Source organism: Homo sapiens, chromosome 3 (assembly GCF_000001405.40).
Source record: "Homo sapiens chromosome 3, GRCh38.p14 Primary Assembly".
Classification (NCBI taxonomy): domain Eukaryota; kingdom Metazoa; phylum Chordata; class Mammalia; order Primates; family Hominidae; genus Homo; species Homo sapiens.
The window spans coordinates 134831829-134849026 of record NC_000003.12 but is presented as its reverse complement, the minus strand read 5'-3'; the positions used below and the strand labels follow the sequence as shown (position 1 = coordinate 134849026).

At 43.6% G+C, this 17198-nt stretch overlaps 1 protein-coding gene across 1 annotated transcript in view, besides 3 other annotated features; it reads right to left on the bottom strand.

Moving 5' to 3' along the window:
- The window catches only part of EPHB1 (EPH receptor B1), a 465208-nt gene that overhangs the window by 411441 nt on the left and 36569 nt on the right, over positions 1–17198 (bottom strand). The window lies entirely within an intron of this gene.
- Positions 2015–2514: an enhancer, noted in NCBI's record as "H3K4me1 hESC enhancer chr3:134565355-134565854 (GRCh37/hg19 assembly coordinates)". NCBI's record gives its function as "activates a minimal SCP1, AML or CMV promoter by ChIP-STARR-seq in naive H9 embryonic stem cells {active_cell/tissue: H9 hESC(naive)}" and the evidence as "EXISTENCE:reporter gene assay evidence [ECO:0000049][PMID:30033119]".
- Positions 8726–8775: a silencer, noted in NCBI's record as "silent region_14754". NCBI's record gives its function as "represses an Ori minimal core promoter by ATAC-STARR-seq in GM12878 lymphoblastoid cells {active_cell/tissue: GM12878}" and the evidence as "EXISTENCE:reporter gene assay evidence [ECO:0000049][PMID:35858748]".
- Positions 8876–8955: an enhancer, noted in NCBI's record as "active region_20572". NCBI's record gives its function as "activates an Ori minimal core promoter by ATAC-STARR-seq in GM12878 lymphoblastoid cells {active_cell/tissue: GM12878}" and the evidence as "EXISTENCE:reporter gene assay evidence [ECO:0000049][PMID:35858748]".

Genomic DNA, 17198 nt, shown 5'->3' with positions numbered 1-17198 from the left:
CCGCCTTGTGCGTAGGTGTGATCTTCACAGGACAAGGCTGAGTCTTGCCTGCCTTTTGGCATCTCCACACTACCCTGCAGATACTCAAAATACAGCTCTTGTATTGGATTGAAAAATAGAGGCCCCTGGCCTTTGGGCATGGTTCTACCACTGAAGAAACAACCTCAAGCCACCAAAAGCCTTTTGCTTTCTCAATAAAGAGCATACAAGATTTAGTGGGCTGCAAGTCATGAAGAAGCTTGATGGCAGGAAAACCCTCCCCCTACCGGATCCCCTCCCTGAGTGGCTGGGACCTTGAGGTTTGGGCTGAAGACTGCCTACCAACTACAGCAGAGAGAAAGCGTGACAGCCTGCAACGGCTCCCGCAAAGTCTCTAGCACCATTATCACACCAGCACCATAATGGCAATAAAAAGTTATTTCTATTTTAAATTGTCAATATTAATCTAATGCTTGCGATGAATGAAGTAGTGATGATAAATGGGGTGTTTAATAAAGACGAAAGCTCCAGCAGCCTCAGAGAAAACCTCCTTTGACTTAAAGTTATCGTCTTGATTAAAATTTCCATTTTATTATCCTAATCAGCAATCTTTGTTCAATGTGCTACAATTTCTATTTTCTCCACTTAGAGAGATAATTAACAACACTATAAACATATTAAAAGTAAAATGTTTATTAAAATTGCTCTGTTATCCAAATTTAACTTATTTTTTAGCAATGCTTCATGGAGACATGCCCTTGCCACCAGGAAGACGTCCCAGAACCAACCTCTCTGGATAACCCCTTTCTATTCCCAGGGTCTCCAGGGAGCAGACAACCCCTGGTCCCAGTCACACATTCCTGTGTTCAACAGCCCTGCAGTTTAATCCAGTTTCATTTCATTTCATTCAATCTGACATCTCTTTATGCAGAGCATAAGAGACTCATTAGTCTCCACTATGAATGTGGGCTAGGGTGGAGATGAGACATAGATGGGAAACTGAGGCATCAGAAAATACAAAAATGCCCCCAAATTAGTCAACTTTGCATCTCTCTGAAATGCAAAGGTTCGTTAATTAAAGGTTCCTAATGAACAAATAGCCATTAAGCACCAAGTATGTGCAAGGCTCAGTGGGTAGAAACCACAGCACCACACAATCTAAACGCTGTCTCCAGGCAGGGTATCAGGGCACAGGATATCTTCAGCCACAATGGGAAAATTGTTTAGGTCTGATTTTTAAAAACACAACACTTATGCTTATCCAAACATGGAATCTGACTCCACATATGCGATTTCTGCTCTGGAAAATATGGAACACTGAAGCCAGGTGGAAATAGCTCCCTCGGGTGACTCTGTGATACTCGTGAGGATGCACCCTGGCCAAGACCTTCTGGTTCCCATTTCCTGCCTTCTTCTTGTCCTCATCTTGGGGCAGACCAACAGACTTAGTCAGCACCTTACTGTGGTCTTCAAACAAGGCTGATTAGGAATCAGGAATTGTCTTCCCTGCAGCCACCAGAAGGTGTGTTGTGTGTGGCTGTCACTCCCACAGAGGACTTTGGTTTAAAAGCACTTAGACACAGCATCTCACTTAATCCTCCCCATGGACTGGTAAAGTAGGTGGAGTGTCCACATTTTACAGAGGAGTAAACTGAGGCTCAGTGAGCTTAAATATCCTGTGCCAAACACACAACTAATAGGCTGGTGGCTGTCCTAGTCCCAGCTGTCTTCCTGGGGCTCCCTGCTTTAGCACACGCCTCCAGCCTCAGGGTGAGTGGCTACATCTGAAGCCGGAGGTGGAGCCCCGCCTTGCCCTGCTGCTGTCCAAGTCCTGGGCTCCTATGAACAGCCTCTCTTTGTGGTTTTTTTTTTCCATGATGTGTGTGTGTTTTAACCTGAGTCACCTCCGGGTATCCTGGAGCCTTCCACAGGGAAGGCCACGTTCTGTTAATCAGCGTGAAATGGCGCATACCCTCTGACCCCTCAGAAAGGAATGCATACCAAAGTTGACGACACTTAGGGAAATGGAGGAAACAGCAATCCACAGAGGCCCAGGGGTAAGGGCTATTAATCTCCCGCCACCGAAGGAAATGAAATCATTCTGTCTGCAGCTACAGAATCCAAAAGAACAAATTTCCTGCCAGGATAATAAATGGATTCTTTTGTTTTTGCCTTGACTCCCATCACATGACCCTCCCGGCCCATTCCTTATCCAGGTGACTTCGCTGGGTAAATACCCAGAGGTTTCCGTTTCAACCTCAATGATGGACCAGGGTCCATCCCACCTGAGCATCCCACCAGAGCACTCAGCCTGCCTGCTCTGCCCTGCCCCCATGCCTTTCCTTCCCAAAACACCTCCTGCAAAGGTGAGCAAGGCTTCCATCCCCTCTGCAAAGACTTTCGTGAAGAGGACCATTCCCCCACCCTCAGGCAGGAGCAGATTTTGAAGCAACTCCGTGGAGAAGAAGGGGGAAAAGCCATTTTACCACCGAACAGGCATCACACAAGATGTACTTTGGAAACAATAATGAATAGTAAATTTGGGCTATAAAATTCCCAGGGCAAGCAAAGGAGCACCCACGCGATGCTCTTGCTGATGTGCGTGGAGGGAATAATGCAAGGCTTGGAAGGTATCGCAAAGGCAGCATTATGGGCAACCTGGGCTCCACTGGGCTGCACTAACATTCCTCCAAATGGGGCCTCGGAGCCCTGCCCCGGCAGATTGCAACGTGCAAGCAATGAACCACTTCATAATTGGCTTCTGTTCGGCCACAACACCGAGCACTCAACTTCTAAAATGGGTCTGTATTTGCAAAGAAAAATTGCTGCTGGCTTAACACACAGCAAGAAGCCCTAGTGCCTGGTGAACACACAGAGAAAACTTGTGTACTGTTCCTCACTCTCCTGTCCCCTGGGCCTCCAAGGAGAGGCAGTGCCTGAAGGATGCAACACCATACTGATCAGAGGAGATGCAACTCCCAAGCACAGGCTGGCAGCCCCACTTCCCCAAAGGTGTGACCACCTTAGAAGACCCTCTGCAGTCGTGAAAAGAAATGATCATGAGACCTCTTTGATCTGGGCACAAAAAACCTCCACCTCCCAGCATGTGTCTGTGTGTGTAAGCAGAGGGGCCAGAGGGGTATTGTGTGGGTAGTTCAAGTTCCCTAAGAGAGGGCAGGGTGCATCCTCTGTGAAAAATGGAAGGAGAGCTTGTTAGATGCTCCTCAACTCCACAGAAATACTGTGACATGTGAGTGCTTTGGGGCAAAACAGTGGGTAAAATGATAGTGGCAGGAAAAATAAAATTATACCTCCTAGAGAGGCAATGTGAGCATGTATATAACCGTTACTGCCTAAGGTCTGCTGGGATATCTCCTCACACAAGAATTCTGTGGGATGCAGAATGTGGCTGGGTGGTCTGGTCTCTCTGCACGCCTGACTCTCTGCCCTGGATCAGAGACCTCGAAGCCACGGCAAAGAGGCATGGACAGCAGATCCCTCTGCCAAATGTCACTCTTCTGGCCTCGGAGCCTGCACTTCTTCACTCATACCAGTTGTAGCTATTGCCCACAGCTTTGCAAGTTATTTTTTATGCCTGTCTTTGCCACTAGATGTGTTTCTCCAGAATACAATCTTATTTTATTTATCTCTGCATCTGCAGCAAGATGGATGGGTAGATGGACAGCTGGTTGAATGGATGAATAAGCCAGATCACCCAAGGCATATTATCTTCATCAATCCCACATCTTATGGAAAGAAATGAAATTAATAGTTACAAAAAAACTACTCCATGACAAGTATTGTTCTAGATGGTTTCTGCATCTTATTTCAGTCACACAACTACTCCAAGAATTGAGTTTTATTTTTGACATTTTACAAATGAGAAACTAAGGATCAATAGCATTCTACTGACCCAAAGCCAGGTCTGTAGAATACTCCACATCCAGTATCCAAATGTAGAGCACTCTCTGTCAGTCATTTTTCAGATTATGAGTGCAATAAACATTTGTTGGGCACCTGCTTGGTGCCAGGCATCATGTCATGCATTGAAGATTCACAGACAAATCTGAAGTGGATTCAGGTGGAACTCTTTGGTAAGTAGGGGAGGAAACTCAGGCTCTCCAGGGACTCCACAGCCAGGAAAAGTCCGTCACATCAAAACACATGCAAACTGGTAGAGACTTGTGGCTAGAGCAGAGGGAGGAGGCAGGCAAACTCTCTTTGAAAAAAGCAGAAATGAGCAAAAATGACAAAAACAATCATCTCAGCATCCTGGAAATTAACCAAAGATGTTCAACAATCTGAGAAGTATTTATGTATCAAAGACGGGAGTTTGAGTAAGAATAGTGGGTACCTGTGGCATTCTTGCCTAGGAAAGCACCCTCCTCCTCACCCTCCCCTGAGCTCTGCTGATATGAAGGTCCTGCTAGGGAAGGAAACAACATGAAGATCATCAAAGCTGTGGGTCAAAGGGAACTCACTTGATTTGGAGTGGTTGGTTATGCCATATCCGGCAGCAGTATCAGTAGAAGTGATGTGCTCAGCAGGTGAGACCATGGCATGACTGGGGCAAGTGTATACTTGGCTGAGGATGTGCACATACCCAATTAAGTCCAGAGAGGAGCCAACATAGCCACACACTCCTGGCCAGCCCTAAGGCTACGCTTGCTTATAGAACAGGTGGAAGATCCCACTGGAAAGCCAAAGCCAGAGCAGACTTCAAAATGACCTGAATTTTGAATGTGCTTTCCTACCTACACACAGATCCAATGGCAGAGAATGCAAGTCTTGAGGCTCAAGGTGCTTGAACACAACCTCTGTCTAATCATTGGCAGACCGTTAACCCACACAGACCTCTAAGAAGCAAGACATAAAAATAAAAACAAAAATTAAAGCTAAAATCTGAACCAACACAAAAGTGGTCATATACCATAGAGAAGACATATTTCACAGATTAGCCCAGGCAAGTTACTCAACCAACAAACAAACAAACCAGTAACAACATCATCATTCAGGGGAAAAAATAACACTCAGAGTTGCTATAATACATTATCTAAAATGTCCCATTTTCAACAGAAAATTATGACACATCCAAAGAAACAAGAAAGCATAATTCATACTCAAGAAAGAAAGCAATCAATAGAAACTATCTATGAGCCCTCAGATATTAGATACAGCAGACAAAAACTTCAAAGTAGCTCTTATAAATATGCTCAAAAACCTAAATAAAACCACTTTTAAATAACTAGAGAAAGTATAACAATAAGGAACAGAAAAATAGAGATCATCTCTTAAAAGACAGAAATTATTTTTAAAACTAAATGTAAATTATGGAGTTGAAAAGAACAATAACTGAAATAAAAAAATCACTAGAGGAGCTCAACAGAAAATTCAAGATTGAAGAGAAAAAAAATCAATGAATTTGAAGATAGATCAATGGAAATTATCATGTCCAAAGAACAGAGAAGAAGATTAAAGTAAAAGGCAACAGAACCTCAGAAATCCATTGATTAACATCAAACACATCAACATACATGTGATAAAAAAACTTCCAGATAGGAAAGAGAAAAGGGGAAAGAAAAACATTTGAAAAATAATGGTTTAAAACAGTTCAAATTTAATGAGAAACATCAATCTGCACAAGTCCAAAAATCCCAATGAACTCCAACTAGGGTAATACGAGGAGATTCCCAACTAGATACATCATAGTCAAATGTTTAAAGACAAAGACAACATTTTCAATGCCACAAAAGAAAAGAAAATAACATACAGAGAAACATCAATGTGATTAATATGACTTCTTTTCGGAAACAATGGAGGCCCAAAGGTAATGGAATGATATTCAAAGTGCTAAAAGAAACAAACTATCAACCAAGAATTCTATACACAGTGAAACTATCCTATAAAAATGAAGAAAAAATAAAAACATTCCTAGACAACCAAAGCCAGAAAATTTGTCACCAGCAAATCTGCATAAAATACAAACAAATACTAAAGAATGTTATTCAAGATGAAAAGAAATGACACCAGAAGGTAACTTGAAAACACAGGAAAAAAAATGAAAAGCACTGGAAATGGTAAATATATGAACAGTCTATTCTTCTCTAACTTCCTTAAAAGTAATACAATTATATAAACTAATAACACCGTATTGTTGAGTTTATATCATATATCAGTGTAATAAATCCATCATTAATAGCACAAAGGAGGGGTAAGGACATGCTTCATGGGGGAGAAGCCACTTGAACCGTCCCATTCATTAAAGCTGTGTGGGATATTAAAAGATGGAAACAGTGGGAAAAGCACTCCAGGCAAAGAGAATTGAACAATCAAAGGTGTGGAGATGGGAAAGACATGTTTGAAGAAGAGCAAGTTGTCTTACTTTACTTGGTGATAGAAAAGGTTAGAAAAGTCAGTTGTAGGTAGCTAAGGAGGCCCACGGAAAGCCAAGCTAAGGAAATAGGACTGGGTTTTACCCAATTAAAGGGAACTTAGAGGGATTTTGGGTTTTGTTTTTAATTAGAAGAATTAGTTTTTCTAATGGGTGCCTCAGGAAGGATCTTCTGACTGCAGGCATTGGAATGGCACAGGCCCAGGATGGAGTAGGTACTGGATGAACAGGGCTCTGATGGCATTAGCACAGAAGAGTGAAGGGGGTGAGGCTGGTGTAAAGGAGGTCTCCTAGGAGCCCAACTGTCTTTATCTGTTTGGGCTGCTATAACAAAATACTATAGAATAGGTAGCTTATAAACAACAGAAATTTATGTCTCACAGTTCTCGAGGCTGAGAAGTCCAAGATCAAGGCACCAGCAGATTTGGAGACTGGTGAGGACCCACTTTCTGATTCATAGACAGCAACTTCTCCATGTGTCCTCATATGGTGGAAGGAGCAAGTTAGCTCTCTGGGGTCTCTTTTATAAGGTACTAATCCCATTCATGAAGGGGCCACTGTCATGACTGACTTAACTACCTCCCAAAGGCCCCAGCTATTACTACCATCACCTTTGAGGTTAAGTCATAAGCATATGAATTTCGGGGGATCACAATCAGACTACAGCACCACTGCAACAATGTGTGGGGATGTCTATGATGTCCCCTTACTTTTATCCTTTCCCCAGCTCTCAAACTCTTTGGAAATGAGTTCAGCCAGGAAAAAACAAAGGGGAATATCATTAAGTGGCAAACAACGCTTATGAATAAAGAAATAAGAGAATTTAAATCCAGACTATGCCAGACACTATACCAATCACCCCAAGTTCCCTCATTTAGGCTGGAAAGGAATATTTTATTAAACCTATTTTACAGGGAGGGAAACTGAGGACACGTTTCCTTAAGGTTATGCAGAGAGTTAAGCCAAAGCAGGATTCAAATGATTGTGAGCCTAATTCAACATTCACACTCTTCTCATAGTTTCAGTCAGCTCTTTTGAGTGAGAGGGTGTTCACTCCAAAGAGTCAGCTTTTAAATCAAATACATCAGTGAAATAAATAGAGGAAACCTTTTTATGATGTAGTCATCCCTGCCTCCTTTCAGGAATCTCTCATCCTACTGCCTCCATCCTTGTGAAGCCTCCCTAGAAAGCAAAATACCTGAGCTCAGCAGTGTTCAGTGGTGAGCAACCTGGAGACCTCCCACCTGTCCCACATACAGAGTGACAGGACATAAGCCTTTGAGGGACAACAGTGACACCAGCAGCATGAGCAGCAGGTTGAACAAGGGCCCTGGTATGGGAAGCCCTGTTCCTCTAAGGCTTCCTGGCTGGGTCTGAACATGGCTGGGACAGGCAGAGCATCTAACCTAGGCTCTAGAGATGTCCTGGCTACTGCCTGCCACCCACATCAGAGCTTTTCCTGGAAACCAGGAAAACTCCCTGGAAGTGGTAGAAGCCACCAGTCCCACAGCAGCATCACTCAGTGCCCACTTCTTGACACACACAGCTTCTCCTGGTGGAATAAGGGTAGATGTAGCTGAGGAAGGGGGCTCTGAGAAGGAGGGAAACCAGGGAAGGGGCCCATACCCCAGAAGAAGTCCCAAGATAGGGCAGGCATTGTGGTGCAAAACCCACCCTTCTTAATAACACCTGCATTGTTAAGTGACCGGCTGGAGACTGCTGTTAACAGCGATGAGCCAATCCAGAAGTGAGCTGGAGGGTTATCGCAGCCAGGTCACTAAATCCCACCCTGTGCTGGAAGCTTCCCAGGAAACTCTTAAAGGGAGGAGTTGTCACACCTGTCACCAAAAGAGAGGCTGAGGGCCAGTCAGAGACCTCATATTTACAATGTGTACCAGTTCTGTGCTCTGTAAAACGGCACCCAGATTGCAACATTCTCACCAACTTCATAAAATACATTTTATTAGGATTGTGGTTCTGACTCAAACAACTTCATAAAATTTTCTTTCTTATGAAGTGGGTGCTATTACATACTCACTTCTTTGAAAGACAGTTCAATTGCCAAGAGCTATATAATTAGGTATGGGCACTGAGAAACTATTTTTAAAGGATTAGGGCATACTTAGGCTATTTGTCCTGCTTTAATTTGAAGTTTCCAATGCATCTGAGAGCCAGATTGATTTTATTTGGCCGATACAGAGCTGTAAAAGAAAAAAAAATGCATTTTTGTCATCATTTAAAAATTGGGGATTTTTATCCAGTGAAAATCCAGAAGATGAGGCAATGCCCATATATCTAGATGGGGCAGGAGTTCACCTATTCACAGGGTCCCCACCAGGCAACCTCACCTGGTTATGAAACCTATGGGCCCCCAGTAGGCATCTGGGTCTAGAGCACCTTCTGTAGGTCAACCACAAACATTAACATTGTCTACTACAGGCAAAGCCCTGGGCCAGGCACTATGGGGAAAGAGGAAGTAAGCCCTGGGCCCTGTGCCATAGTGATGTGTGCTGCCTGGGGAGACAGAAGGATGCATAGAAATAGCTGATTCAAGGAGGAATACAAGTTGATCACTAACGGAGGTGCCAAGTGGAGGGGAGTGTAGAAAAAAAGAGATTTCTTACCAGGAGGCAGTGGAATAATGTGTCCCCATAAATAAATGCTAGCTCCCTACTCCTGTCCCAGGACCTCATTGTGGGATGCCCCAGGGTCTCAGGGACTCCTTTAGGGGGTCTCAGTCCTGGCCCATCCTGAGCAAATCCTCATCAAGTCACATTCAGCCTTTCACTTGTTTATTAAACAAATGGTACCTCTGGGGCATGCAGCAGAATCACCTAGAAACTTTTCCACTCCCCACCCAAAAAGGTACCATCATCTATGCAGTTGGGCTTCCTAATAGGGGACCTGGAAAACACTCAGCATGTGTCTGAGATCCATCCCCCATTACTCACCACTGTCCTGTCTTATGCCAGACCCTATCCCAGGGCACTGCCCCTCTCTCACTCCAGTCAGAGTCAGCCTGGCAGGAGGTCATGACTCAGTCTGGGGTGCAGAATTGGGCGCTCTCAGTCCTGTGCCTGAGGCATGGCACAGCAGGGCCTTCTCGGTGACCAAGGGCAGAGGCGCTTTCAGGACATGCCTACCCCTCTGCCTTTTAACCTGAGGCAGCTTAGCTCCTGTCAAACTCAAATTTCCCTCCCTAGGATTTGCTTTCTTCCATGACCATCTCACAGCAGTGAAAGATAACATAGCCAGAACCTCCAACAACAAAGGAACAAAGGAACAGACTCTAAAAGTCCAGGTGAAGCTCAGATTAGTCATCTAACAACTACATGGAAATAAGCAGCAGCCAGTAACAAGCACGGTAAGGGGCAGGGATGTGTCTGCTGAGCACAGTTACTATGCACACTTAGGACTCTGCAGAATTAGGAGGCAGTGAGGGAAGAAAGACAAGTCTGGTCCTTGGCCTGAACAGTTGCTTTCACATCCTGACCATGTGGATTTCCCTGTTAACTTCCCTGCATGTGTAAAATAGAAACAATATTTTGTGTCGTATATTGAGAATCAAATGAGGTAACATATATAAAACGCTTGATACAATGCCTAGCACATAGTAGGCAGTCGTGTACAAATATTTGTTCTTTTACCTGAATATTAATTGATGAATTAATGAATATATAGTAGAAAAGAAATAATTTACTTGAACATGTTACAGACTGCTTCTAATTATTTTGTTCTTGATGCTTTTATTTGGATCTGCCTAGGGGTAGAAGGTTTGCCTCCATTTTCTAGCTCCAAAGTTGCATTCTGGAAAGCAGTCTCTTTATTTACTTTTCTTGTAATTAGGGTACACTGCCACCAGGTGGCGGTGGCTGCTCTGAGCTCATCACCAAACTTAAGACATGATTTGTCTTATTAATAGATCCAGATACACCCATTTATTTTCCAGATATTAATTTTCAAAGAGCAATAAAGGCTACACGTGATTGATTATAATATTCTATTAAGTGAAGGATTTTTTTAAGAGAAGGGTGCTAAGCAATTATTCTCCCATGATTTTGAGCATAGCATGAGAGAATGTGGTTTTAAATTTGAGCATAAGAGATGACAGATACTAGGAAGAAGTGACTGACCCACAGGATGATAAAATTTTAGTATAAACTGTTAGGAGAATCCGTGGGGAAGACATTTGGGAGATGTCCTAAGAGGCAAAATAAGCCCAGGGAAGCTGTGAAGGGAGAAAATGCTAGAACAGGAAATCAAGAAGCCAAGGTTTCCTCTTGGCTCTGCTTCTAATACACCATGAGACTTTGACCAGATCAGCAAATTTTCCTGTGCCTCAGTGTTCCTTCTACTCCTGCAGAAGAGGATGACAGATTAAATTATCTCTTAGGGCCCCCATGACCTCAACTAACATGAATCTTACATCTTTTTCTGTTGCATCTGCCTGATCCTCTGGGTGATGACAACTGCACCCAGACCAGAATCTCAGAAGGCTTGTTACATTTCTATGCAATGAGAAGCCTGACAATCCATGGGGCATGAGTGTGTTGGGGGCTTGGGCATGGCCCAAGACCCATGATTCCCTACAGCCTCCCACATAATCCTGGAGCTGAGCCCACCCAGGCAGCACTCCTGTTCTGCACTTCTCATACTCCTGCCCTCACCCCCTGCCTATTCATAAGGTCCATCCAGGTACTGTCTCTTCTTTCTCTATGGCTACGTAATGTCCAGTGCCTGCTCTGGGGTCAGAGACAGGAGGTATGACTGCTTATCTAGAGTGCATCTTGAAAGAAATTGCATGAATGAGGCCACTCATTCTCCTCACCTTCTTTTTAAATTTTCCTTGCATAGAAACTGTTAAAAATTCCACCAAATAGCCCCCAAACACCTAGCTCTCTCATATTGGCTGATGTTCAATATCTGAGGGCCAGAGCAGAGCATTCTTTTGGACTTCGTTCTTTTGGCAAACCATGCCTTTCTAGATATGAGCAAGAAAGCAAGGCCTAAAGAAGCCCCCAGCTAAGTATGCCTTTCTTCTCCCTACTAGGGTGCAGCCCAGAGGGCACCCAGTCTCACCAGCCCTACCCCTTCCCTGCACCAACAAGGTGTAGTTGCCCCCTCCCCGCCATCTCCCAGGACAGACAAGGGCATTTTGCAAAGCATCCTGGACTCAATGGGAACCATCTGATGGTTATCCTAGAGTTTCTAGAAACAAATTCTGCATCCATGTGAACCCAGCAGGATGACAATCAAGGATTCTTTGACAATAAACTGGATTTTAAGACATCCATGTTTAAAATTAATTTCAACTTAAAAAATATTAACTTGTTTTTTTGTAACCAAATAGATAAGCTGAAGTTTCAAGATAAAATCATGGAATAGAGGGTATACCTTTTAGTTATGTAATGCTTAAAAGATTAGATTATTTTAATATTTTAAAGAGAAGATTTACAAATAGGTCCCAATATGCACCTGATGCACTGGTTGCTCGTATTCTCCAGAGCTGGGCGAGGATCAGTCTTTAACTGCAGGGGACATCTTGGCAGCCAACCGCATGAATGACTAGCTATCATCCTTTTACAATATCAACTCCATGTGTCAAAGCTGAGAGTGAACATGTTAAGAGATGGATATTTGCTGATGCATAATTTTAAAATGTCATCCAAGTCAACTAAAGTCACTTATCTAAACTTATCAGAATATTAAAATGAAAACCAATAATAGTAGTCTATTCTATTGACAGAAAAACAACGTCTCCTTTCTTTAGACAAACTTATTCCAGATTAATCACTAGGGAATTAAAAAAGCAGGGGAGCTCCTATTTCTTTTCCGGTCAATGAATTAACAGGAAGAAGAAAGTAAATGTCAAAGTAGCTGCATAATGAAAGACCTTAAGTTTCCTATCTTGATTACATTTAAGCTGATTTGTATTTGTTGTTAATTTATAGAGCCTGTGTATCACATCTATAACTAAAATACTAACAGTGCATTTGTTAAAATGTGCTTCTGTTGAATGTAAATATTCATAATATATGAATATGTGATTTTAACCAGTTACAATAATTTAAGTGTCTATTATTTCTGTTATCCGTTATTTACCTAATGAAGTGTAGTTTTTAAAACTTCACCAAAGTATATATCACGTCATATATACTTGTTACATTGAAGATGGTTTGGCCTCTTAATTTATAAATATCTGCTTCAATTTGCGTTAATACATTAAATTCCTAAAAGATTACTATATTTTCAGGTGCAAAATTAAAACTAGAAAATTAAGCAATTCTTTAAATGCATCTTTTAAAGCAAAAACTGCATCTGATTTATGGAAAACAAGGAGTTTAAATCCATTATTAAACTTAATTTTTTAATTGAGAAAACTGAGTATAATAGGTGTTTAAATCATGCCTTGCATTGACTGTTGCTGTCAAATCAGTCTGAGAATACTGGAATCTAATTGTGCCTTGAAGGGATGCTCAGTGTGTCCACTGTGGCCTCATGGGACTGGATGGCTGTGCCCAGCCAGATGCCCCATGGATAGCTCTCCATGAGGGAGGGCCCATCCTCTCCCTCTCTCCAGATACCCTTTGCCTTCACTTCTGCCGTCAAATGGAGTGTCCACAGAAGGCACAAACTACTGACTGTGATACAGCCTTTCACTAAAACCTTATTTATGAAGAAGCTTGCTGACTCTTGGTAGTGTGCCAGTCATTTCTATGTTTGGACCAAATGAGCTCCCATGCCTGAAGCCTCCAATCTATGACCAAAGGACCCCACAGGGCAGGGAAACAGGAGCCCTGGGGTACTGGTGAAGGAAATGACAATGTGGGGTCAAGAATGAATGGAGCCCTTGGAGCCCCAGAAATCTTGACACCCCTTTTCTGCTCACTTCCCCAGACCTCCTCCTCCCCACTCAGGCTATTCCCTTCACAGAGACACCCTCAAGGATCAGGGGTCTTTCCTCTCACTGCCAACTCCAATGTATGTCCCACCTGGCTTGATAAATCAGATGCTGGAATAGGCTTTGGAGCCAGACTGCTCTGGGCTGGAATCTTGGCTCCTGCTTTTTTAACTTGCCTTGAAGCAAATCACTTCACCTCTCTGGGCTTCCAGGTCCTTACCTATAACTGGGGGAGCAGGGTTGTGGTCAAGATTCAAAACAATGCAAGTAAAGGCACTGGCACCATGCCTGGATGCACCATCCACATCAGTAAATGTCATGTTCACATGTGCATATGCCTGTGTTCCTCACTACCAACCCCTCCACAGGGCTGAAAGTAGCAATCACGTGGGCTGGAATACAGAATCTACTACCATTAAATGCTGTCCAGCTCAAGGCAGGCAAGGGGTCTCCAGTGTTCTGACTCCAGTCCCACTGGGATGGAACTTGTTTCTCTGGAGTTTCCACCACCTCCAATGGTGCATGCCAGCATTTCTCACCTCAGGCAACAGCTCTGCTAAAGCACTACAATTAGGAGTGACACACCTGCTCAGATGTTAACACAGCTACTCCTGCAGTTACCTGGCCTCTGACAGAATTGAGAACCTGATTCCCAGATGCCTTGTGGAAGCCAAGAAAGAGAGACTGCCAACCCATTACACCACAGGTCCAGCCAACCATGAGAGTGCGCCTCTAAATTACCCCCTGTTCACTTGACTGAGGAAGTAGCATTTGTTTTTATTTTCCAGGACAGACAGTCAATCACTCATAGGTGACAGAAATAAAGATAAATACTACCCATTGAACTTTAAATCAAAATGCTAATCCCAGGCTGACTTCTCTGTCAAGGTCTGACACTGAAATAATTCAGCAGGCTTTGATTATGCCCAAAATTAATGCTCTGGTGGAGATTATGTCTATTAATCACAGATTCTGATGGCATAGCTGCTCATATTCATCTGCCGGTGACAGCCAACACTGTTCTGATGGCCAGGAGACCTTCACCTGGATGTCCTCAACTTATGGATTACAAGCCAACCACCAACGAGGGGTATGAGCCACAGGATCATAGGGTCATCTAAGAAGTAGCTGGAGGGGGCCATGTCCTGAACATAAAAAGATGTCAAAGCATTGTTCTGTCTTTGATAAGGACCAAGCAACAGGAACTTGGGCTGGCCAACATGAGTCCCACAAAAGACCCAAGGGTGGCCCCTGGGGATGACACCCAGCTGTGATGTCACACTGCAGACAAGACCAAACAGCCAGCAGTCATATTCCAAAAGACTATCCAGAGTCAGGAGTTTGTTTTGTGTGAGGGGTAACAATTTTTCTTAACTCTGGAGGTCTACTAGAGGGGAGAGTTAGGAATCCAGATCAGAAGATCACATGTGCGTTTGATCTCCAAACTGCTGCACTCCTGAAATCTCCCCTCAATCTGACCTCTCCTGCAACAAATATGTATTTATCACTTACTGTTTACCAGGCTCTATTCTAAGCATTTGGGATATGTCTGAACAAAACAGATCAAGGTCCTTGTTATGGGCTTGCATTCCAGGGAGTTTCAAAATCCCCCTGGTCCCTGGACCTTCTCATCTCCTGCCTAGATAGTCTTCCTCCCTGCTCTCTAGTTGGTCTAGTTAGTCTTTTTTTCCACCACACCCCATCTTAGCTGCCTCCCCTCCACCACCCAAGTGTCAGGGCAGCTTTCTTACAGGTAAATTTGCCTAAAACCCTTTAGTGGTTCCCCTGCCTAAGGTTGAGAAACCATCCTCTTATCACGCTCTGGGGGCCTCCGTAACTATCTCTGCTTATTCCTCTATACTCAACTCAGCCCACGCCCCTAACAGCACATGGTGCTCCAGAAATACAGGGCAGACAGTAGAATCTCAGCACACACCATGCTGGGTGACCCTCTGCCCTTCTGTTGGCTGGTTACTTGCCAGGCACGCCCTTTATCCTTCATCCCTGCTCTTCACCTCCTCATGCCTGGAGACTCAGCCTCACAGGCAGCTCCTCTAGACACCCTCAGGCCTGGCCAGTCCCCACCCTGGGGCCCCACAGCATACTCTGCCTCCTTCAGTCCTGGCACCCATCACACTGAATTGTCATCATCTGCTCATTTGCTCTCTGCTCTTATCTCCCAAGAGACTGAACTCCATTTAGCCTGAAACAATGCTTTACACATTTTGTAGTCCCAGCACAGTGCCTGGAACATATTAGGTGCTCAATGAAAGTTTACTATCCTGAACCAATCACGCCATAAAACCTAACCACCCTTTAGTACATTGTTTCCATGGGAAAATTGTGTTCCAAGTGCTGCCTGGCCTGTTGGGGACACAGCTCACCCACTCACAGTCCTAATGACAAGAACATGAGTTCATCCAGCACACTCTATCCTGGGCAGTCTTTCCCATCAAAGCAGAGGGCCTGGGGACGGGGGCAGGGTCACAGGGTCAGTGTTGCACCCCCGGCAGACCAAAGCTAAGGAGTCTAGGTGGATTTGTCCCTAAGTCCTCACTTATGGGGGCGCTGAGAGTCCCATGGGACCCCAGGATGGCTTTTGCCTGATGTTGACTCATGGTCTCTAGGACATTATCCCTGAAGTTGAGCACACAGGGCTGGGATCAGGTGACCAAGGGCATGCACTCCTGAAACTCAGACTTCCACCTGCAAATATTCAAGACTCTTCTTCTCCAACCAGAAAAAAATTCATTTATAAAGCACTTTTTAAAAAACAGCATTACTGGTCATTGCTAAGACCTAACCAATACCAGTACCTCCTAAAAGTGAGAATCACATAAACCGTGAGTGATTGAACGCAACATTAAATACACTGAATTGCAGCGTTAGAAAGTTGTCTCCTTTTCAATTATTTGTGGTTCTCTGATTATGACAGCAGAAAGTTTCAGCTGGAGACTTGTATATCATCAGCTCTTCTCTACCACTTGCTAATTTCATTTTTAAGGAATTGAGAGCCAGTTTCAGACTCAGTCAAAAGTTAGAGTGCGATGACATCAACTTCATTGTCCATATGTTTATTGTCACTTTCAATTTGTGATAAGTGAGATTGTTTTCCATTGACAATGATGGAATCAAGTTTCCTTCTAAAAATACAGGTATTTAAGGTTTTCAGTGAATTAAGGAAAAATATTACATAATAATGGTACAGTTTGTATGTGGGTAAGGGGGAACTCATAGCAGTGATACTTGGGTGACTGAAGCCAGAAGACAGAAGAGCAACCGCCATGAACAGGTCTCAGGGTGGTGCAAGGACTCAGACACCTCACTTGAAGGTTTGGAAGTTTAGTTGCCTCATGATCTGTCCCAGATTTCTTCTCAGTTCTGTTTGCCATTGCCTTGCTCCCAGCCTGGCTTTGGCTCCATTCTGTGAGGCTTTTGGTTACACTCACAAATGCCCTTGTGCACCCCTGTTGAAGGCCCTCTACAGCCTGACCAGCTCTGTCTTGCATGTTGATGTTGGGTTGTCAAATTCAGCAAGCCAACAAACAACAGGACACCCAGTTAAATTTGAATTCCTGATAAACAATGAATAATTTTCTTAGAATAAGTATGCCTCAAATACCGCATGCAATATGTCAATGTGTGTCCCACACAATATTTTGTGCTTAAAATACCTAAAACTAAAAAGTATCTATTGCTTACTTGGAATTCAGATTTAGTTGGCAATCCTGTATTTTATCCAGCAACCCCACCCTGCCATGACACTGAACAATGCCGCTCTCACAAGACGTTGGCACAATTGGACAATTTCTGAAAGCATCATTGATATTTTTCTTTTTCAGAGTAGCAGCCCCACATTCTCTCAAGCGTATCATAGAAATATCCAAACAGGTTCAGTTCTCCCTCAATAGGGTTGAACCAAGGAAG